The sequence below is a fragment of the Homo sapiens genome, chromosome 6, assembly GCF_000001405.40.
Source record: "Homo sapiens chromosome 6, GRCh38.p14 Primary Assembly".
Taxonomy (NCBI): domain Eukaryota; kingdom Metazoa; phylum Chordata; class Mammalia; order Primates; family Hominidae; genus Homo; species Homo sapiens.
The window spans coordinates 20,732,251-20,757,221 of NC_000006.12; the positions used below are offsets into that span (position 1 = coordinate 20,732,251).

Below are 24,971 nucleotides of genomic sequence, written 5' to 3' on the forward strand. Positions count from 1 at the left end.
TTTTCTTTCTTTCTTTTTTTTTTTTTTTTTTTTTTGTTGTTGTTGAGACAGGGTCTCACTCTGTCACCCAGGCTGGAGTGCAGTGGCACCATTTTGCTCAGTGCAACCTCTGCCTCCGGGGTTCAAGCGATTCTCCTGCCTCAGCCTTCTGAGTAGCTGGGATTGCAGCTGTGCACCATGACACCTGGCTATTTTTTTTTTTTTTTTGGTATTTTTAGTAGAGATCGGGTTTCATCATGTTGGCCAAGCTGGTCTCAAATTCCTGACCTCAAGTGATCTGCCCGCCTCTGCCTCCCAAAGTGCTAGGATTACAGGCGTGAGCCACTATGCCTGGCTGACAAGTATCTTCTTACAAGTCTAAGGAATCATTCCCGTTGTCTGCACTTGGTTCACTTTGGAGCCATAAGGCTAGTTAAGCCCCTCTGATGCGTGTTTTATTTTTACTGTACTTCTCATTCATTACTCATTGTGCGAGCACCACAGTCACCATTTTCTAATTTCTGCAGGTACCACCTTTGACTTTTCTCCATCGTTTACTTTTCCGCCCTTCATTTTTCCCATGTAGTTTCTTTTTCAAACTTTTTGTATGTGTCTCATTGAATTTCTCTTTCTATAATGAACCAAGTTTTTAAAGACCCTTAACCTCTTCACAGAAGTCTGTATACGTATCCTCATTTCTTCCCCTTAAAATAAAGCTACAAAACATTTAAACTAATCTTTCACAGACCCTTGTTGCCCTTGTAAAGCAGATGGAAACACAGTAACAGGTGGCACTGTAGGCTGGGGAGGACTCTTAGTCTCAGCTGCCCAGCCGCCCCAGTGCCCCTGACCTTCTCCCTCAGGGACCTCAGTGGGAGTCAGGGTGATGGAGTCATGCTTTCAGGGAAAACCACTTCTCCTGCATAACGTTGGTATCCTTGGGTCTCTTGATAAAGGTGCATGATGACTGTCCCACAGCTACTTGCAGCTGTCCTTGCCATCTCCACATCTCTGTTCTTCCATTCTTCCCTTTTACATGAAAACTTGGCTTCTAAAGCATATTTCTTCCTTCTCGCTCTAAACTGTGAACTTTAGATCAGTGACTATCTTTGTGTCTTTATTTTTCCTTGTGTCTGGCATGTGATACATGAACAAATTGTAGAATGAAAACATGAAATGCTTGTGAACAAAAGTTCTCTGAAAAAGGGATTTGGAGGAAACAGACTTTATTCCAGTGCACCATGACACCCGGCTATTTGAAGCCTTTAGTGTAAAACAAAGGTGCATTCTAGAGAATGAAGAGGAGGCTTGAGTTGTATAACAAAAGTTCCCACCCAGGTTTCCAATCAGGTCCATTTGTGCAAATGAAGGATTGAAACTTGCTTAGTTTTGATTGGCCAACACAGCTGAGTTCTGATTGTTGAATGCAATAAGGTTTTTGAAATATGGTATTCATGGAATCTGGAGATCTTGGGTGCTCCTGCCAGCTCCAGCACTAACTATGGAAACTGTGGGACTTTAGGCCTCAATCATTGCCTCTTCTTAAATCTTAATCTTCTCATCTGTGAAGTAAGGGAATGATATTTTGTCATCTTTAAGTATTTTTTATTATGCTATGAATTTTAAGATTTTGTACAGGCCGGGCATGGTGGCTCATGCCTGTAATCCCAGCACTTTGGGAGGCTGAGGTGGGTGGATCCCTTGAGGTCAGGAGTTTGAGACCAGGCTGGCCAACATGGTGAAACCCCGTCTCTACTAAAAATACAAAAATTTGCCAGGTGTGGTGGTGCATGCCTGTAGTGCCAACTACTCAGGAGGCTGAGGCAGGAGAATCAATTGAACCTGGGAGATAGAGGTTGCAGGGAGCTGAGATTATGCCACTGCACTCCAACCTGGGCATCAGAGCGAGACTCTGTCTTGAAAAAAAAAAAAAAAAGAAAGAAAGAAAAAGATTTTGTACAAATTGTTTCTTCCATTTGGTTTTTGGAAGACAAGAGGGAAAAGCTTCTTTATGTTTTCTATATTACTCAAGTTAATGCTCTAGAAAAGGGTACCTCTCTTTATTTAGAAATATGTTTCAAGAAAAAATGACCCATTATATTAAATTTATATTGTTTTTATATTAGCATTTCAAGGCTATCTGAAGTGAAGAAATGGAAATTAATACTATTTTAAATTTTCTTCAGGTATTATTCTTATCACCATTCATATTTTGCAGGATAAAAGCTTTTAAAAATATGTCTGTGCTGGGTACATTTTTAAAGGAAATTTTTTTAAGGCTTTTATTAACCTGAACAAAGCTAACCAGACAAAAAGAACAAGCTGTAAGAAGGTACTGTTGAGAACAAAAATACTGTGTGAATTTGCATTAAAACTTTGCTACTTTATTTGGTGACTTGTAAAGTATGGTGTTAATATTCCATGACAGCTATGATTTCGGCTTAGATTATAGTTCTGGTCTGCCTTAGAATTTTAAAGCCAAATTTAAAAAAATAATGAAATAATTTTTTCCCCAAAGCCAATGTAATTCCACATCATTGCCCAGGCTGGTCTCAAACGCCTTCCTGGGCTCAAGCTATACACCTGCCTAGGCCTCCCAAAGAGCTGGGATAAAGGGGCAAGTTGCTGCACCTCTTTTTTTTTTTTTTTTTTTTTTTTGAGATGGAGTCTCACTGTGTTGCCTGAGCTGGAGTGCAGTGGTGCGATCTTGGCTCACTGCAACCTCCACCTCCCTGGTTCAAGCAATTCCCTGCCTCAGCCTCCTGAGTGGCTGGGATTACAGGTGCATGCCACCATGCCCGGCTAATTTTTTTGTATTTTTAGTAGAGATGGGTTTCACCACGTTGGCCAGACTGGTCTCGAACTCCTGACCTTAGGCAACCCACCCGCCTTGGCCTCCCAAAGTGCTGGGATTTCAGGCGTGAGCCACTGCATCCGACCTTCTCTTTTTTTAAAAAACTAATTTCAACTTTTATTTTAGATTCAGTGGGTACATGTGCAGATTTGTTACATGGGTGTATTAGTTCATTCTCATGCTACAAATAAAGACATACCTGAGACTGGGTAATTTATTAAAAAAAAGAGGTTTAATTGACTCAGTTCTGCATGGCTGGGAAAGCCTCAGGAAACTTACAATCATGGCAGAAGGCACCTCTTTACAGGGGAGCAGGAGGCAGAATGAGAGCTGAGCAAATGGGAAAGCCCCTTATAAACCATCAGATCTCATCAGAACTTACTATCATGAGAACAGCATGAGGGAAACGACTCCTATGATTCAGTTACCTCCCACTGGGCTCCTCCCGTGATATGTGAGTATTATGGGAACTACAATTCAAGATGAGATTTGGGTGGGGACACAGCCAAACCATATCAATGGTATAGTGTGTGAATTACTTAATCATGCACCTCAATTTTTCTTTGAATTTTTTGGTGTTCTTATTCCCTTAAAATAAGCTTTCGCCTATTTCATGTCACGAGAACATTGTCCCTGAGTTGTTATATATTGGCTGTACTGTTTTCAAGTATTCTGCATGACTAATTACATAATGGCTATTACCCTGATTAAGTGCTATGTAAGTGCTAACCACAGTTTTTATTGTCATAGTATCATTGGTTCTTTGTTTTCACCTATTATTTTTGATCCTATAGAAATGTTTGTACACCTCTATAAAACTGTAATGTTTTATATTCAATTGGATTCTCTCACACTTTGACACTGCTGCATCCGCTGTCATCAACTATCACTTTGAAATCTATCCTCACTTATTCTCAGCCAGCCAACTTGCATTTCAGAGATTTGATGGGCATTGCTAGAATCTCAGATTCAGTGTGTCCTATGTTAATTTATTACCTTCTATCCCAGTGCTCAGCTCTGACAACCAGTGGAACAACTATTTCTTTTTTTTTTTTCTCTCTGTTTTCTTAAGCTGTGGATTAGCAAACTATTAGCAAACTATGGCCTGCTGCCTGTTTTTGTAAATAAAGTTTTATTAATGTTAGATGCCCATTCGTGTAAGTATTGTCTATGGCTGCTTTTGCACTAAGGTGGCAGAGTTTAAGAAGTTGCAACAGAGACCTTATGACCAGCAAAGCTGAAAGTTTTGACTTTTGGTCCCTTTATAGAAAAGTTTGCTGACCCCTACTTTAGACTAAAACTTTGGCATTATCTTTGATTCCTCCTTTGGTATTTTTCAAGTATATTCTAGCAAGAGAACTAATCTCCATTTCTGTAATCATCATCATCTTTTTAAAAATCTTCCGGCCGGGGGCGGTGGCTCACGCCTGTAATCCCAGCACTTTGGGAGGCCGAGGCAGGCAGATCACGAGGTCAGGAGATCGAGACCATCCTGGCTAACACGGTGAAACCCCATCTCTACTAAAAATACAAAAAAAATTAGCCGGGCCTGGTGGTGGGCACCTGTAGTCCCAGCTACTCCGGAGGCTGAGGCAGGAGAATGGCAGGAACCCAGGAGGCGGAACTTGGAGTGAGCCAAGACAGCACCATTGCACTCCAGCCTGGGCCACAGAGCGAGACTCTGCCTCAAAAAAAAAAAAAATTTCCTCCACATGCGTTCTGGTTCTCTGATCCTTTTGCCTAGGGTATTAAATTAATTTCCTCACCTCCTGGCTTCTTTTCCCCTTCTATTTAGGGCAAACAGAAGGGGAATGTCGATGTCAAATGTATTGACATTTTACACTATGTCACCAGTGTTATGTTCTCAAAGTTCCACTCTGCCACCAAAACTTAAGAGATTTCCATATTGCCCACAAAATTAGAGACTCTCAACCCTCTTAAGATTCTTTCTACAGTATAAGCCCTCTCATTCTCCCAATTACAGAAATTATTTCTATTAATATAATGAAATACTTTCCTCCTCCTTGTCTTTGTTCATGCTCTAACAACTGCCCTGAGCTTTCTGTGCCTCCATCTCCATTTTTCCTACTCCTGTCTTGCCAATAAAAATCCTCCTAGATTTCCTCATGAAGCTTTTTCCTGTGTTTTCCTTTCTGCATATTCTTTTTGACTTCGTGGTATGTTAGCTATCCATCTCACTGTCACCAAGGACACCTTACTGAATGCTGTGTTTTTAACGTTCTTTTATATTTCAAATATTATAAACCATAAGCTTGTTGAGTGCAAAGCACTTGTCTTCTTCATTACCGTGTTCTCTTAAACACTGAGTGTAATGATGTCTTAGATATGCTTAATAAGAAATTGAATAGCATTTTAGGAAGCAGGCTTTTTGAATTTGGATTTAATTATTAGTCATCTCAATGTCTCTTGGATGTTTGGCAGAAATTCTAGGTGTTATAATGAAAGTTCTTGAAAAACTTGATGTTAACGTCTTTGTATACATGGCTAATGAAAATGGAAAGATTTTTTTGTTTGATAAGGTATTTCACATTTAATACAAGAAAAGTATTTATATGCAATGATGTGCTTGGTACTGATAAAAAGTAAAACCAGGTGGCAGAGCCAGGCAATAATTCTCTTGGATGTGTTATGCAATCTACCAAAGTCAGATTTGTTTTTATTTCGTTAACAAGCTTTTTCAAGATTCCAAGAAGAAAAATTATATCAAAGTGTTCTTAGAAGCTATTGAAATGAAATGCAGGTGCCGTTAAAATAGTATTTTGTACTCTGTCTATTCATTTATTTAATCATTCTCTCTGTACTTCCCAGAAAATTTTGATGTGGCTGTTCATCACAAAGAGCCCAATTTTTTGTTGGCATCTAGTTCTGAATTTGTACTCTTGAAAAAGTTGACAAAGACAAAGAAGTGTGCCAGGTTTAGAGACCTTTTACTTTGTAGTAGTACAGTTTAATGTCACACCGACAGAAACTCAGCTGCTAATACCCTTACCTTTCTCAGTTGGTTTCAGAAACCTAGAGGTTGCTTGTAGTGGTGGGAGGAGGGACCCAATTGGGTACATAACACGCAGTGCCCAAAGACTCAGCAATAAAAGTGAACAAAGCATCAAAACACACTCCAATACCCGTACACATGCAAAAGAATTAAAGACTTGAAAATTTAATTTTAAGATGGGCAAAGGATTTGACTAGTTTCTAGGAGAGGATATAAGTTCTGCTTTGTTCACTACTGTCTTCTAGCACAAAATAAATGTTTGCTATATATATGCATACCCGAGTGAATAATGTCACATCAAAACATATTGCTAGCACCCTCTTGAGTAAAGAAATGCTTAAAAAATAGCCATATATGTATACTTTTGAGCCAGCATTTCTACTTCTTAGTTTTTTTTTTTTTTTTTTTTTGATACACAGTCTTGCTCTGTTGCCCAGGCTAGAATACAGTGGCGCCATCATCATTGGTGGTGCTCACCACAACCTTGAACTCCTGGGGCTTCAGTGCTCCTCCTGGCTCAGCCTCCAGAGTAGCTAGGACTACAGACACGCCCCACCATGCCTGGCTAATTTGTTTATTTTTAGTAGAGACAAGGTCTCGCGATGTTGCCCAGGCTGGTTTCAAACTCCTGGGCTCAAGTGATCCTCCCGCCTTGGCCTCCCAAAGTGTTGGGATTACAGGTGTGAACCACTGCACCCAATTACTTAGAATTTATACTGAGGAAATAATTACACAACAGAGTGGGGATTTCACATCTAGGTTTCTGTAATCCAGAAATACTTTCTCAAATCTTCAAATATGTTTGTATGTACAAAGCACCAGCTTGTTTTCCCATATATGCTTGCATATGTGAGGGATAGTCTTGTGTCTGGAAGTAAGCATATGCAGTCAACTTTAGCATGTCTCTAGGGAGCAGGACTGAGGAGATGGGGGAATTACTAGCACGTAGGGTATTATACCTTTTATTTACTCTTCTCTGTTTCAGTTTTTTTAAAGTATATTTTACTTTTATATTGGTCAAAAGACTAGGAAATAGTCTATTAAGTTTTAGGCATATTTTCATTAACATTTAAAATAAGTAACCTACTTGGAGAGTTAGCTTGCCTATCTGGAAAATGCAGTTTTCAAGAATGATTCATATCCTTGGGAATAAAGTAAAAAATAATGAATTTTTTTGTTTTATAATGAGACGGTAATGAATGGCATTATCAGATTGGACTGCTGTTGTGTTCTTTAATGCTGCGATAAATAGACATATTGTACAGAAGTTTTATTATGTGTTCTTTAACCAGTTGTAAGAAAATCTTGTTTCATGTGAGATAGGCCTGTTATTATTTGGAGAACTAATATGCACTAACAACAGTTTCCAAGAGTATACCCATGAGCAAAGGAATTCACATTGTCTTCTCTTCAATCTTTTAGAAAAGCTCAAGAGGAGAACAAGAAAATCGTACTGGCTGGATGCGTTCCTCAAGCCCAGCCTCGCCAGGACTACCTTAAGGGACTGAGTATCATTGGGGTAAGCTTGTACCTGATGCAAAAAGAGAAAATCTTACATTGTTAACACCTGTAATAGCTCCGCATTTTATTTTCTGTTTGTAGGTTATTTGTAAGCTATGTTACACTTATGGCTGTCCTAAACATATTTTCCTTATTGTCCCTGAAACTGTCATTTCTGTGTAACTTTTTCACCTTAGCACAAAAACATGTGTTAGTTTCTCTCATTAAGAAAGAGCAACACAATAAAAAGCCATAGTGTGGAATTTACATCCCTTAATAACCCGGTCTTTGGCTGTCTGTTACCATCGCTTTCCAAGTCATTACAGTTTTTCCACCTCACTCAGCTACTTGCTTTTCGCCCCCTAGTACATCAATGCCTTTTTTCAAATGCCCCACTTCCCTTATACCTACCACCACAAGTCTCAGCTCCAACATGACAACATTCTGTGAAGCCTTCTCTGCCTACTCCGTGTAGTCCACCATAATTATTCTCTCTAGTTTCTCTTTGCTTACTGTGCAGTTACCTGTCGTATAATTCTTTGAATAAAGCCCACCTGTCTATTTAAATTGTTAGCCTCATGCGAATAGTTTTTCAATCTTTTTTTAAAACTCTCACCATGTTTCTCTAGCCTTTCCTGTGATACCTGGCACATAGTAAGCACTCAATAAGTGTTTGTTGATTGCCTGAAAAAAATCTTCCCGTTGTATTTCTGTTGTTAGCATACTTTTTTTTGGGGGGCGTGGGCAGTCAGCTCTGTGAAGTAAGGAGACTACTGTCTATTCTCTCTCTCTTGTTCTTTGTAGTCAATTACTCTTTGACTGAGTAAAAATGCCCTGAAGTAGCTGATATTCAGTCAATATTTGTTGATCAAATGATGGTGCTTCTTCCTTCCCAACATTCTACTGAAGCTGTAGGTGATAAGCTCAGCAATGTTGTTTGTTTAAAAAGGCTACATTAATTTAAAAAAATATGTAAAAACATCATATGCTCATAGAAGAAGTTTACATAATTAATTGGCATCTGCTTTGAACTTTATGATAGATTTTTCCTTATTTGATATACTACTGACAGGTTCTTGTATCATGTTCTCAGTGTAATGAACTTGTTTTCTGCTGTGAAGTCCTTACCCCACTAGCAAATTTAATAATCTTTGAACAAACATTCTCACTTTCAACAAACAGAACCTGAATGTTTGGTAACTTTAGTTTGTTTTCACCATTTGTCTGTTTACATTTTGATTTTTCTTGGTTTAAGGAATGAAATGAATATGGGACTCCCGAGTTATCTTTTCATGTCAGACTAACTTTCTCTATAAACATAATCCTGCTGTGGTAGGGAAATAGGAAACTAGTTGGAAGTCTTTTTTAGAGATGGAATGTGGTAAAAACTTGGAGTTGATCTTAGATTTCATCTCAAGGAATTACGTTAGAGAATAGCAGAATTTCTCTAGTATGGCAAAAGGCTCTTCTCTGCATACATTTTGGCAACATTTTTTAAAATGCCATTGTGTGCCGGGAAAAGCGTATGTTAGGATGTACAGGAGATTCTCCAGATGCAGTGTAAGGGAGGACACTTAGTGCTATTAATATGAGTTTATTTGCCAATGTCACAGCTTTGTGTCAGTCCAATTTTCAGGGCCGACACAAAGCTGTGACACTGGCAGATAAACATTTTTTTTTCTATTTAATCCCACACCTTTGTTGTTCTGTGGTTAACATTTATTTTCTTTAAACTTCTATTTTAAGTTGAGGGGTACATGTGCAGGTTTGTTATACAGGTTAAACACGCGTCTGTTGTACAGATTATTTTATCACCTAGGTACTAAGCCTTTTACTCATTAGTTATTTTTCCTGATCCTCTGCTTCTTCCCACTCACTACCCTCCAATAGGCCCCAGTGTGGTGTTACCGCCAATGTGTCCATGTATTCTCATCATGTAGCTCCCACTTAAAAATGAGAATGTATGGTATTTGGTTTTCTGCTCCTGTGTTAGTTTGTTAAGGATAATGGCCTCCAGCTCCATCCATAGTCCTACAAAAGACATGCTCTTGTTTTTGTTTTTTTATGGCTGCATAGTATTCCATAGTGTATATGTACCACATTTTCTTTATCCGATATGTCATTGTAGGTTGATTCCATGTCTTTGCTATTGTGAATAGTGCTACAGTGAACATTCACATGCATGTGTTTTTGTGGTAGAATGATTTATATTTCTCTGGGTATATACCCAGTAATTACATTGCTGGGTCAAATGGTAGTTTTGCTTTTAGCTCTCTGAGGAGTTGCCACACTGCTTTCCATAATGGTTGAACTAATTTACACTCCCACCAATAGCATGTAAGTGTTCCCTTTTCTCCACAGTCTTGCCAGCATCTGTTATTTTTTGACATTCTGATAATAGCCATTCTGACTGGCATGAGGTAGTATCTCATTGAGGTTTTGATTTTCATTTCTCTAACAATCAGTGACACTGAGCTTTTTTTCATATGCTTGTTAGCCGCGTGTATGTCTTCTTTTGAAGTGTCTGTTCATGTCCTTTGCCCACTTTTTAATAGGGCTGTTTGTTTTTTCTCTTGTAAATTTGTTTATGTTCCTTATAGATGCTGGATATTAGACCTTTGTCAGATGTATGGTTTGCAAACATTTTCTGCCATTCTGTACATTGTCTGTTTACTCTGTTGAGAGTTTCTTTTGCTGTTTTGTTCTGTCATATAGTCCCATTTTGTTACCACTAGTAGTCTTTAGGTTTATCTTATTTTGTTCATTTACAATTGGAGAAATAAGAACACATTTTGAAGAGTGAGTAGAAATAAAATCTATATTTCTATCGCCATAATGCATTTAAAATTTTGCTTATCTTCTTCAGACTTAACCTTTGCATCTTTTACTTAATTGTAATCTCAAACCTATTTTGTATTCTTATTTTTTGATGTTCTTTCATGAGTTTTTTAACCATTTTAAGTGTGGCATTAGTGTTCTATTGAAGGATATAACGTACTTTACCTATTTCTTAATTATTGTATTTAAGAATTTTCTAGTTTTTAGGAAATATGCATAATACATTAATGCTCTCGCTGGTCTTTTAAATTTTTTAAATTTGAAATTAGTATATTTTGAAAAGTTTCTGAAAGTGGGGTCACACTATCATTAACATTTCAGAGGTGTAATTTAATTATATGTTTACCAGCATTACATATTATTAAAGTATAAGATTATTATTTGTTAATATCATTTTGTAGAGCATTTTTTTCTGTGGCAGGTATATTACATTTTATTTATCATCACTGACTTTTTATATATGAAAATTATGTCCACATAACTAAAAATTTTGAAAACAAATTACAAATTAGGAAACAAAATTATCTAAGTTTTACCTTTAGAGAGACCTACTTTTGAATAGAACTGTTGTATAGAATTGCTATAAAACTAGAAACCTTCTCAAATATAGTGAGTTACAGTGAAATAAAGAAATGAATTATATTTTATACAAAGAGAAAACAGTTCTGAAGTCCAAAAAGAATAGATGTTTAAATTCAGTGACTTGGGAAACTATTTTTAGCAGGAAGTTTAGAATTGTATTGCACGATTGAGTAAAGAATGCTATTCCTTCACAAAATTTCTATGATGGGAGGATGTTAATAGAGTTGGAAGGAAGAACAACTGTAACTGCATTCTTTGCTTTTATCTTCTGCTAGCCTTTATCTGTGTCACCTTACAGTACAGGAAGAATGTGTCAATTCTGTTGACCAGGCGATTAAAATAAAAAACTTCCATGAGGTGGGGATCATTGGGTGAGCAAGCTGCTTATTGTACATCTGAGTTAAAGGACTTTTATTGTACTTACCCATGTTTGAAAGTGCTCATAGCATAGGCATTTAAGAAGATATTAATAGATAAAGAGAGAAATTACTACCATCATAACATGCTGGTTTCCATCAATATAAGCCTGTAGGAATGGGGCATTTAGTTTAGTAATCAGAACAAGGCAGTGTGGTGAGAACACATGGTAAGCAATTTTTTGACCTCTGGGCCTTTTATTATCATCTGTCCCACTCTCTCCTGAAATCACCTAGTTGTGATTAATATTATTTGTGTGATGGTGCATGGAAAGAAAATAACAACATTGAAACCAGAAATAAAGCCTGCCATCCTCTGAGTCCAGATCCTCTGGCTTTGGTGGCTGTAACCTCTGCACTTCTCCCATCTTGGAGCAAAAATCTGTGCACAAACCTGTCTAATTTCTTCACAATGGAAGCGGAGAGAGAACAGATTTGAAAACATGTATGTCTTGAATAAAAAGTTTTAGCCAAAATCTTTTTCACAAGATATGAAACTATCTTAGCATGAAGTGAAGTTTAAATTTTGTATCTAGATGATGTATATTTATGAGTGACCAGTATAGAATCAGGATCTTTTTGTCTCTTTTTAGGATCTTGAAACATTTTACCTTACAGTTAAAAATTCCCTTTCTCTTTTAACAAATAGTTATAGTTAATCATCTACCTTAGAGTTTTCATGCAATGCCATTTTTATTACTGCTATTTGTTTATGTCATTTATGTTAGCTGTAGATAGTTTCATATCTTGTGAATATATCTGTTTGAATGTTTCTGTTTTTCTTTTAGGCTAATTTGTTGGCAGAAAGTTTCTTTTAGATTAGTTAACCAGAACATAGGATGTTCTCTTAACATTTGCAGTAAAAAAAGAGTAGTAGACTTCAGGCTTCAGAAAGCCTAGCTTCAAATCCTAGACCCACCATATCATTATTTATTTGGTTCAGCAAGTACTTACTGAGTGCCTACTGTGTGCTTGGTGTACTGTTCCTTGCACAGTACTATGCAAGTGCTGGGAATGCAGCAGTATATAAAATCGTCCCAGATCCCTGTCCTCACTGAGCTTACGTTCTGGTTCTTAGGGAGAGAATTCTGGTTTGAGTCCAGAACTTCTCCAGCTTCCTGGAGAATCTAGTGAGATGGGTCCCTAGACCACAGTGAGATCAATTAGTTGGGAATTTCTCTTTAAGGCTCAGATGGAAATGCCCTTGGTGTCTGCTGGTTGTGAGTTGTGTTAGGGAGAGATGAGTGAAACAATATTTATTTGCTGAGTTCTTCTTCCTAAGGTAGTGTTATTTATCAGTTATTACAGTATCCATTATTAACAGGAACAACATTTATTAGGAAGTTAGGCTCTCACTCTATTACTAGAAAGTGTGTTTATGAAATTGTGTGCTTTGTGTAGTTTTTCTGTGTTATTAACAAGGACCACATTTGAAGTTGGTCTTGGTGTTAATTCATTGGACTGATCATTGTAACTAATTATAGCTCTAGAAATTCTAAATAAACTGCAAATTAATAGACACGTTGTAAAATGTTAAGACATGCAATTCACAACGGAATATACAATTTGATATTGAAAATTTGTAAATGACAAGGCTTCCTCATGTGCCAGCTGTGAGCCCTGCAGGCAGGTGAACATTTTCTTTGGAGAGCTGAACAGAAATGTGGTTTAACACAGGTGTCCACTTATCTCAGGGACTATTAGCAGGTTGATTTGCAGTGGTTAAACATCTTTTCAGGCAGGCTGCTCTAATCTCGAAAAGTGAAACAGGATTGACTTTTGACTATTTCAAATGCGAGCACTTTAATTTTGAAAATTATGTGTACAGTTAAAGCTGCATTTGAACGGCTAAATTTGAGAATATTTCTATCGTACACCATGTTGCAAAAGGTAAACAAATTCACAAAGTGGAGCAGTGTCACAGTAACAGTGGGATCAGTATTGAGGGCAAGGCTTGAGGAACGCTCTCCTTCTCCTGTTTGCCCCTACTTCGAACATTTCTTCTTGCCATGTTCTATTTTTTTTTAACTTCCGTTGTCTAAAAGGTAGTATTGTGAGAGAATGACATGTAAATTTAAACACCCATTTATGTTTTTCCCTTCCTTGACCTGTTGGTTTCACTTTTTTTGGCATCTTCTAATCTCACCTGTATTCATATATGTTTCACCTATTGAATGATTAAAATGTAGTATATCATAGTGATTAAGAGTATGGATTCAGGAACTAGATTGCGTGGGTTCAAATTGCTGATCTCAAATTCTCGGCTAATACTAACAATAGCTGATGAGCTAAAAAAAAATCGCCAAAAAAAATCTAATAATGTTTTAAGAAAGTTTATTAGTTTGCGTTGGGCCACATTCAAAGCTGTCCTGGGCCACGTGGGGCCCAGAGGCCATGGGTTGGACAAGTCTGATGTGTAAAATTGTTTATTAATTGGTATTTTACATCTCTAATGTGTATTTGTTTTAGTTATAATATTACTCTGTGTTTAACTTTGGTATCACTTTTTAAATTATCTTTTAATTTGCAACATGTTCTGTTATTTAATAGGAGTATTCTGATGTCCCAAACACTGTTTCTGTGTGTGATTGAGCTTAGCCTGTTGAATTTTGTTTTTATTGCTGAAGGGGTTTTGTGCCTCCTTTACCCCTCCCCGCTACAGAAAGTTTAATCGGTATTTTAGTTGCATTTAAGAGGAAGAGAGGTTCCTGGTACCAATCCTCATTTTACTGGCACCCTTCTAGCCTGGCTTCATCTTTCAGTTAGTTATTTTTATCTCTAACTCAGTATTAGTCACTCACTGGTACTACCATTCAGGTGAAATATGCCTTCAGTGTTATGAGGAATGTACTGTCATGTAACTTCTGTTGAAAGGGCTATTTCTACCTTTGGGGAAGAATCTTTTTGAATGAAGAGATTAAAGATGAAAATATACTGGGAGATGAGTATTAAAGTTAAATCACACATAACATCAAATGCTGTTTTGTGTTACACAGCAAAGTTGCTCACGGGCTTGTGAGTTCAAGAAAAATCTTCTCATAGCGTTGAAACACATTAAGCTAGCTTAGTGACTGCTGTCAGCTTCCCCACATTTAAGGGATTTGGAAATTGAGCCCTCCTCCATTACTATGTAAGGTAGGGACTTGGCTTAATAGAGAAGTTAATATTGAACTTTGACTTGTCAGATGCTGATTATTCAATCAAACTTCGTTATGGTAAAGGGGAAACATCTGAACATATATTTGATGGAAAAGACTTTATATGTATAGTTCTTAATGGAGATGGAAATAAGGGCATTTCTTTCCTTTTTTATTGTATATATTTAAGGTGTACAATGTTTTTATATATACATAGTGAAATGATTACTAGAGTCAAGCAAAATAACTTATCCATCTCCTTCTGTAGTTACTTTTTATGTTTGTGTGTAGTAAGAGCACCTAATATCTACTCTTAGCAGATTTTCAGTATACAATATTAAATATAGCCCTGATGATGTAATTAGATCTCTAGACTTGTCCTACATAACTGCAACTTTGTACCCTTTGATCTACTTCACATTTTTCTCCCCCTCCCCACCCCGGTAATCCCCAGGCTACTCCCTGTTTCTCTGTATTTGACTTGTTTTAAGTAAAGCTTTTACACACAATTGAAATCATGCATTTTTTTTTCCCAGTGTCTGGCTTAGTTTACTTAGCATAATGTCCTCCAGGTTCATCAGTGTTGTCACAAATGACTGGATATCCTTTTAAAAATGTTGAATAATATTCCATTACTTAAATATACCACAATTATTTTATTCATTCATCCATCGATGGATACTTAGGTTGTTTTCACATCTTGGTTATTGTGTATAATGCTGCATTGAACTTGAGAGCACAGATATCTCTACAGAGTGCTGATTTCATTTCCTTTGGATATATAAGGATTGCTGGATCATATGGTAGTTCTATTTTTAAGTCTTTGAGGAATCTTCATACTGTTTTCCATAACGGCTGTACCAGTTTACTTTCCTACCAACAGTGCATAACGGTTCTCTCTTCTCTACTTCCTCGCTGACACTCGTTATTTATTGTCTCTTTGGCATGGCCATCCTCAGTGAGGTGATAGCTCATGGTGGTTTTGATTTGTCTTTCCCTAATCATTATGATGTTGACCACATTTTTATATATGTTTTCATTGGCTATTTGTATGTTTCCTTTGGAAAAATGTCTATTCAGGTCCTTTGCCCATTTTTAAATAAGGTTATTTAATTATTTTGCCATTAAGTTATATGAATTCCTTGTATATTTTGGACATGAACCCCTTATCAGGTATATGGTTTGCAAATATTTTCTCCCAATCCATAGGCTGCCTTTTCATTCAGTTGATTGCTTCCCTTGCTGTGCAGAATCATTTTAGCTTGATGTAGTCCCATTTGTTTATTTTTGCTTTTTGTTGCCTGAGCTTTTGGTGTGATATCCAAAAAATCAGTGCCAAGGCCAATGTCAAAGATCTTTTTCCCTATGTTTAAGGAGAGAGAGTTTTCTCCCAGGAATTTCACAGTGTCAGGTCTTACATTTAGACCTATAATCTGGAGCTGATTTTTATGTATGGTGTAGTATACAGATTCAATGCAGTTTCTATCAAAATTCCAATGACATTGTTTGCAAATATAGAAAAACAGTTCTAAAATTTGTGTGAAACCACAGGAGACTCTGAATAGCCAAAACAGTCTTGAAAAGGAAAAAGTTGGAGACATAACACTTTGTGGTTTAAAATTACAGTCTAAAGCCATTGTGGCTAGCAGTGGTTTGTGCCTGTAATTGCCGCAACTCAAGAGGCTGAAGTGAGAGGATCTCTTGAGGCCGAGAATTTGAGATCAGCCTGGGCAACATACTGAAACCTTGTCTCTAAAATAATAATAATGATAATAATAACAATAACAAAAATTAGCCTGGCATGATGGCATACTCCTGTAGTTCCAGCTACTTGGGAGGCTGAGGCAGGAGGGTTGCTTGAGTCGAGGAGTTCCAGGCTGTGGCGAGTTCCAGGCTGTGGTGAGTTCCAGGCTGTGGCGAGTTGTTGTGATTGTGCCACTGCACTCCAGCTCCAGCTTGGGAAAGAGAGCAAGACTCTGTTTCTGGAAAAAAAAAAAAAAAAAAAAAAAAAAAAAAAAAAAAAAAAGCTATAGTAATCAAAACAGTATGGTACTGGCATAAAAATAGACACATAGACGAATGGGAACAGAATAGAGAGCCTAGAGATAAAGCCAAGCATACCAAGGATATGCACTCAACTGAAGTTTTTTCAACAAGCCCACCAAGAAGACACACTGGGGAAAGGATAGTCTCTTTATGGTGTTGGGAATGAAACTGGACCTAGATATCACTTTTTCCTTTTACAGATCAGTGGAGTTTTCAGGTAGTTTTAAAGTTTTGGTTGTGGTATTTTTTAATTGGAATTAAAATGACATTGTCTTTTTATTTATTTATATACAATCAAAATTAAGACAGCTAATAAGAAAGTACTTTGCATGTATGTGTATATATATATGTATATGTATGTGTATATATATGTATGTGTGTGTATATATATATATAAAATGTATTCACTTCTTTTACTCCTGAAAGGATTTGAGGTATCTTGGGATAAAATCAAGAGATAGTAAAACCCCAGCCAGATTCATGCAGTCTTAATAAGAGTCATACCAACTAATAGAGAAATATGGACAAAGAGCACTGTTTCACATTTTTAATATAATTAGCCTGAGCAATGTTGTTAATATTATTCTATTAACCCTCCAGTGGCTTTCATTTGCAAATAGAATAAAATTTAAACCACATAGCATGAACTGCTGAACTGCAAGATCTCACATACTCTTTCTCCCATCATTATGTGACCTCATCTCTTACCACTGTGTCCCTAATTGCTGTCCCTCTTTTGACCACACAACCCATTTATGTTATTTCAGCCTCTCAGTCCTTGTGCTTACTCTTCTGCCGGAGGTTCGCATTGATGCCTCTGTCAGTGGTTCGGGTCCCTGGACTGATGCTACCTATTCAGTAAGTTTAACTGGACTGCTGTAGAAAAATTTTGCTCTCTACCTCCTACCACTAATCCCAGATTTTCTTTTTTTTCTTTTCTTTTTTTTTTTGAGATGGAGTCTCACTCCATCCCCCAGGCTAGAGTGCAGTGGCACGATCTCGGCTCACTGCAAGCTCCGCCTCCTGGGTTCACGCCATTCTCCTGCCTCAGCCTCCCAAGTAGCTGGGACTACAGGTGCCCGCCACCAAGCCTGGCTATTTTTTTGTATTTTTAGTAGAGATGGGGTCTCACTGTGTTAGCCAAGAGGGTCTCGATCTTCTGACCTCGTGATCTGCCCACCTCGGCCTCCCAAAGTGCTGGGATTAGAGGTGTGAGCCACCACGCCCAGCCCCAGATTTTCTTTTTCTTTTCCTTTTTTGTTTTTTTTTAAATAAAGACGGGGTCTCGCCATGTTGTCCAGGGTGGTTTCAAACTCCTAGGCTCAAACAATCTTCCCGCCTCAGCCTCCCAGAGTGCTGTGATTATAGGCATGAACCACCACACCTGGCCCCAGATTTTAATTTCTTCATAGTGTCTGTCATTGTAGCAAATGAAAATTTTCCATTATTTGCAGTTTCTTTCCCCTAATTAGACTATAAGGTCCATGAAGCAGGGATGTTGTATTTTTTGTTTGTTTGAGACAAGGTTTCGCCCTGTCACTCTGGCTAAGTGGAATGATGTGATCACGGCACACTGCAGCCTCCCAAGTAGCTGGGACTGCAGGCACATGCCACCACACATGGCTAATTTTTTGTTTCTGTAAAGATGGTGTCTCTAGTTTTCCAGGCTGGTCTCAAACTCCTGGGCTCAAGTGATTCTCCCTCCTCACCCTCCCAAAGTAGGGACATTGTATTTTTCACTGTTATGTCCCCAGTTACTAGAACTTTGTAGTTCATAGTTAGTGTTTAACAAATATTTTTCAAATGAATGTATTTATGCCAATGGTGATTTGTGGGGGAGAGTTTGGAGAAAATAGTTGTCTGAGTCTCTTGAAAGTTCACGTTCAGTTGAAGGGCATTTTATGATCATTTAATAATAACCTCCATGTGCATAGGAGAAGGGAGATTCATCAAGTGGACCACCTATCTGCCATTCCTGGACAAGATGTACTAGGAATCATTGGCAAAAATCTATCTTGATATCCTTGTGCCTCAAATCTCTCAGCCTCAGAAATAACAGTACTATCAGCCAGGCGTGGTGACTCATGCCTGTAATCCCAGCACTTTGGGAGGCCGAGGCGGGCAGATCACTTGAGGTCAGGAGTTCGGGATCAGTCTGGCCAACATGGTGAAACCCTATCTCTGCTAAAAATACAAAAATTAGCCGGGTGTGGTGGCAGGCACCTGTAATCCCAGCTACTCAGGAGGCTGAGGCAGGAGAATCGCTTGAACCCAGGAAGCGGAGGTTGCAGTGAGCCGAGATTACACCACTGCACTCCAGGCTGAGCAACAGAGTGAAAAAAAAAAAAAAAAAAAAAAAAAAAAAAAAAAGAAGTAACAGTACTGTCTCCTCCTCCCTAGTAGTGTTTGAGGATTAAGTGTGATAATGCACGTGAAGTGTCAGTGTAGAGCATGAAACAGAGTAATTGTTCAAGAAATGTTAGCTGTCACTGTGTTATTCCTAGTCATTAACTTATCTAGCTGCTGGTTTTTCAGGAAAAATGATACTTCAAGTGCATACTAAAACAGAACCTTCGACTGCAGAGTAGTGTCAGCTTGTTCTCCGACGGCTTCAAATGAGTGGACTTTTTTTTTTAAAGCCTAGTTGGCAAAATTGTGTTTGAGATGTATGTTCATTTCCTAAGGCTGCCATAACAAATTACTGTAAACTGAGTGGCTCCCTTAGCCATTCCCTAAAGCTGCACTTTTCAGTGTGGCTGCAGTAGCCACATTTGACTATTTAAATATGAATTAAGTTCCTCAGTAACAGTAGCCACATTTGAAGTCTGTAATAACCACATGTGGCTAGTGACTATCATAGTGGATGGCACAGCATATAAACATTTCCATCATTGCAGAAGGTCCTGCTGACAGCACTGCTCTGAGTGATTAGGATACTTTAGAATAGCATTTTTATTTGCTTTGAGTGCCATTGTATAGGCTTGTTTCTTCAATACATGTCTAGTTATAAATTTGGAATAGTTGATAATAGCTGAATAAAATATTTTTGTGGATTTCTTTTTAAAGTTCTGCAGTAGAATGACTCATTAATGTTATTTATGAATTGTTTATACACCAACTCCTTTCTTCATTGTTGAGAACATATGGAGTCAGTAATAAAACATACTGCCTGTCTTTTTTTGTGTGTATTTATAACTAAGTGCCTCAAGGACACAAGATACTGTTTTATTTATTTTATTTGAATTACATGCTAGAGAATAAGCTCTTGTGTATTCAGAGCCTCAATTTATATATTAATTAAGAACAACTTTCCTTTTCTCCCAGAATGAGTTCAATATATTCTTCATTACTGTATGTGAATTTTGAGTTTGTTTTCTTGCTCTCGATTGTTTTTTCTTCTTTCTCTGCCTCCCACCCTTCATTTTTTTTTTCTTCTGATGTTTTCCTCTTCCGCGTAACTCCCCCTCCCCTGACTCTTCTCTCCGTTTCCTCTTGGTCTCCCCTTTTTTCCCTTTTCCCCATTGCTTCCTCCGTTGTCTTCCGTACTGGAAACCAAAATGGACATAATATTATCTTTAAATCATTTAATAAACTTCTCTTCTGTTTGTAATCAAGTACTTACATTTTTTTTTTAAATTTTACAGTTTTGGCAGATCTTTCTTTTTAAGGTCCTGGGGTTCCCACACACCATCCAGTGATTTAAATTATCATGTGTTGGCAATATTCCACTTCCTGCCATAAAAGCAAATGTAATCAAGTACTATTTTAAATTAGAGGATATATTTTCAGCTATATACATTCAAGCAAATTCTGTGTGACCATCAGGGTCTCCATCTTCATCAGGCCATCTTTGTTTCTTCTATGTGCATGCACACATGTACACACACACACAGACACAGACACACTCTTAGACTTTTCATTTTGACGTAGTATCACTCAGAAATGTTGCAAAAATAAAGAGTTCCTATATGCTCTTTACCCAGATTCCCCAAATATTAACATTTTAACACATTTTCTCATTCTTTTTATGTGTACACATTTTCCCCCTGATCCCGATCCTTATGAAAGTGAGTTGCAACCATGATGCCCTTTACTTCTAAATACCCATATATTTAAAAAGCTACGACACACTCTTAAATCACTATAGTACAATTATCAGTATTAATACAATATTATAAACTAGTGTATTAGCTTTATTCAGATATTGCCAATTGTTTCAATACTGTCCTTTATAGGAAATGAAAAGTCTCAGATTCATAGTAGCATTCAGGTCAGGTCTCTTCAGTCTCCTTTAATCTGGATCATTTCCTCAGTTTTTCGTTGACTTTCATGGCCTTGACATTGGAACCTTTGACCACTCCCAACGTTTTTTTTCTTTTTGGTAATAACAACTTTACTGAGATATAATTCACACACTATGCAATTCACCCATTTAAAGTGTACAATTCATTGCATTTTAGTTTATTCATAGAATTGTATGACCATTACCACAATTAATTTTAGAACATTTTCATCATTTCAAAAAAAACGCAGGTACTTCTTAGCAACTGCCTTTCATTCTCCCTCTGCCCATCCAAAGACAATCACTAACTGACATTGTCTCTGTAGATTTTCTTATTTTGGACATTTCCTATTGTGACCTTTTTGTCTAGCTTCTTTCACTTTGCATTTATAGCATGTAACCATACTTCATTCCCTTTTATGGATTAGTAATATGATCAGGCACCACGTAACAAACTTTAATCAATGATGTATATAAGTCAGTGGTCTCTTTAGATTATAATACAGTATTTTTACTGTACCTTTTATATGTTTAGATTCTTACCATTGTGTATCAGCTGCCTGCAGTATTCAGTACAGTAGCAGGCTGTACAGGTTTGTAGCCTAGGAGCAGTAGGCTATATCATATAGCCTAGTTGAGTAGTAGGCTGTACCATCTGGGTTTGTGTAAGTACACTCTGAAGTTCACACAATGAAGCGATGACCTAATAACACGTTTCTCAGAACACATTCTGTCTTAGTGATGCGTTGCTGTATTTCGTTGTATGCATATGCCACATGTTGTTAATCTGAATGGATACTTCCGTTCCCAGTTTTTGCCTATTATGAATAATGCTATTATGAACATTTGTGTACAAGTTTTTTTATGGACATGTTTTCATTTTTCTTGGAGTTATAACTAGGATTGACATTACTAAATTATATGGTAACTGTTTATTTAATCATTTGAGGAACAGGCAGCTTATTTTCCAAAGTGCTGCATCATTTTACTGCATTCCCATCAGCAATGTATGAAGGTTCCAATTTCTCCACATTTTCACCAACACTCGTTATTATCTGTATGTGTGTGTGTGTGTGTGTGTGTGTGTGTGTGTATTTTAAGAGACAGGGTCTCACTCTGTCACCTACGCTGGAGTCCAGTGGTGTGATCATAGGTCACTGTAATTTTGAACTCCTGGGCTCAAGCGGTCTTTCCCCCTTAGCCTCTCAAGTATTTAGGACTACAGGTGAGCACCACTGTGCCCAGCTAATTTTTAAAAATTTTTTGTAGAGACAGGATCTCGCTGTGTTGCCCAAGCTGGGCTCAAACTCCTGGCCTTAAAGTGATCTTCCCATATTGGCCTCCCAAAGTGCTGGGATTACAGGTGTGAGCAACTGCACCTGGCCTGCCTGTCTTTTTGTTGGTAGTCATCCTACTGGGTGTGAAGTAGTATCTCATTGTGTTTTTTCAGTAGTGGTAAACTACACATAAAATACAATTGACCACTGTAACCATTTTTAACTGATGTGGAGTACATTTACATTGTTGTGTAGTCATCACCACTATCCATCTCTAGAATATTTTCATTTTCTCATACTAAAACTCTATACCCATTAAGCAATAGCTCCCTATTCCTACGTTACGGTTCTGATTTGCATTTCCTGGTTGGCTAATGATGTTGAGCATCTTTTCATATATTTATTGGCCATAAGTATATTTTCCTTGGAAAAGTGTCTGTTCAGATTATTTTCCCATTTTTAATTGGGTTGTCTTTTTATTATTGAGTTGTAGAAGTTCTTCATAAATTCTAGATATAAGTTCCTTACCAGATATGTGATTTATAAAAGTTTTCTCTCATTTTCTGTGTTGTCATGTTACTTTGTTGATGTTGTCCTTTGAAGTACCAAATGGTTTGAATTTTGATGATATCCAATTTATTTTTTCTTTTGTTGTTTTTGTTGTTTGTGCTTTGGCATTACATCTAAGAAATCAGTGTCTAATCTAAGGTTCATATAGATTTATGGCTGTGTTTTCTTCTAAGACTTTTATAGTTTTAGCTTACCCTCAACTTTTTAACAGACTGCTTCCTCTGCATGTTCTGACTTTTCTCTAGAAATATGGCTTCTTATTCAGTCCATGTGCTACAAGAGTGGATGCAGTGCTTTTGAGCTTTTATATTTTTAACTGCATAGGAAAACATTTTTCTTTATGGTTTCATCATGGAATTATCTTATATTTTATTCATTTTATTGTCTGTCTTCTATCCTTAATTGATATCTTGGTCATTCACCCACATCCAGTAGGAAATTTGACCAACTCTTTCTTATCCTATTCATGTCTGTATTATCTTTGGCAATCTGAGTGTCTGGATATAATGTCTTGGCAACATTGTCACCTCTCACTTCATCATACATCAGTTCCAGCAGTCATCACCTACACCTTGTTTCAGCAACCTATTCCCATTGCCAGATACTGGACCTTACTATTCTTCAGAAATACTAAATGCCTGTGTCTGTACTCTGGTTATAACTTTCTGTCCTTTTTCTTTTCTCCTTCCTTTTTTTCCCCTTCATTTTTTTCTTTCTCCAACCCCCAGCCACTTCATTTCTTCTTTTCTGGCTCTATTTCTTTCCCTGTTTAACCTATTTGCCAAACTTCGTCTCATCTAAAATGCATAGTTAACTTTCCTTGTTCCATTTTCTTTCTAGTCCATTCCACAAATCTCTTAGTGTTGTTTCATCAGTCCTTTCAACCATCCTGGTATAATTTAGATGCTCAATAATTGATGAGTGAATAAATGGTGGTATTAACAAACCTTGGGTCAGTCTGTTTGTCTGTTTGGCTCCTACTGTAGAACTGCTGGGACTTGAGAAAAATTATAGCTCTACTTGGAGTTATTGTTATAAATTCATGGTCTCATATTTCAACTGGTGTCCCAATATTGTGTGGTGAATTTTATGTGTTCTTAGTCATCACTGTCTCTTGTTGTCTGTAATAGGTATTTGAAAACATTCATTCTGTTATTTTATGATATGCTTTCTAACTCTTAGCAGATGAACTTCTGGTTACTTTACTGAGAAAAATTGAGGGCAACAGGTGGGAATTTGCTTAGATTCTCCCTGACCTCTACAAGAGTACTAGCATCTTTTCCCATGCTTTACCCCTAACCTCTTCTTTCAGGAGACGAAGAGTTGGCCCTTTTCTCACTCTGACTTGTTCTCTATTCATGTTTTAGATTTTGCTCGGTCTACTTCCTGAAGATCATTGCTCCATCACTTGTTTTTCAGTCTACAGCTCCTTTGCCTACTGCCTTTCTCTGCTCAAACTGCAAAAAAAGAAATAAATAGTTACTTGTACGAACCTAAACCAAAATGTAATATATTCAATATTCTCTAGCCATCAAGAGCCTTTCTTCTCCTTCCCTTTCTCCCCAGCTTTTTACTGAGTACAAATTAACTCTCTCTGTTTTCTTACGTATAATTCATTACTACTGAACTCACTGCTTTCCCTAAGTTTGATTCCCGTATTGTTAAATCAAACATATTCATTTTAGTCTGTATACTTATGTCTCTGTAGTATTTGACACTGTTGGTCACTTCCTCCTCTTTGAAATCTTTGTTCTGCTGGCTTCTTCAATCACATTCTGTATGGAAGCCACATGGGCTCTTATAATAAAACCAGGGCCTAATGGTTCCATTGTTTCCTGGTAGATGCATCTCCGGTTGGGTAGGTTTGTTGGGGGCTGAAAACCTAATGTTGTCTGAGATTTACTTACCTTTGGCAGTTTCTCAGTAATTATTGTTGCTGCTGCCATCATGTTGGGCTGAGTGGTCAGACGTAGAATGGAGTTCAGGTCTGCTCTCACAAGCCTTTCCTCATTTTCTGTAAGATACTGAGACCAAAGGAATATTTTTAAGAGAATTACCATTTCCTTCCTTCCTTCCTTCCTTCCTTCCTTCCTTTCTTCCTTCCTTCTCCCCTTCCTTCCTTCCTTCCTTCCTTCCTTCCTTCCTTCCTTCCTTCCTTCCTTCCTTCCTTCCTTCCTTCCCTCCTTCCCTTCCTTCCCTCCTTCCTTCCTTCCTTTCCTTACTGTGTTGCCCAGGCTTGAGTGCAGTGGTGTGATCTCAGCTCACTACAACCTCCACCTCCCATGTTCAAGTTATTATCTTGCCTCAGCCTCCTGAGTAGCTGGGACTAAGGCATGCACCACTACACCTGGCTAATTTTTGTATTTTTAATAGAGATAGGGTTTCACCATGTTGGCCAGGCTGGTCTCGAACTCCTGACCTCAAGTGATCTGCCCCCTCCTAGGCCTCCCAAAATGCTGGAATTATAGGCATGAACC

The 24,971-nt window shown here is 37.6% G+C and overlaps 1 protein-coding gene across 12 annotated transcripts in view; it reads left to right on the top strand.

Annotated features, from left to right (window-relative positions):
* Positions 1 to 24,971, top strand: part of CDKAL1 (CDKAL1 threonylcarbamoyladenosine tRNA methylthiotransferase) — a 697,948-nt gene that overhangs the window by 197,794 nt on the left and 475,183 nt on the right. For all 12 annotated transcript variants that reach the window (XM_047418949.1, XM_047418952.1, NM_017774.3 and 9 more), the window contains one exon: positions 7,269 to 7,365. In XM_047418949.1, the coding sequence (XP_047274905.1) occupies positions 7,269 to 7,365 (97 nt within the window). The remainder of the gene's footprint in view (positions 1 to 7,268; positions 7,366 to 24,971) is intronic.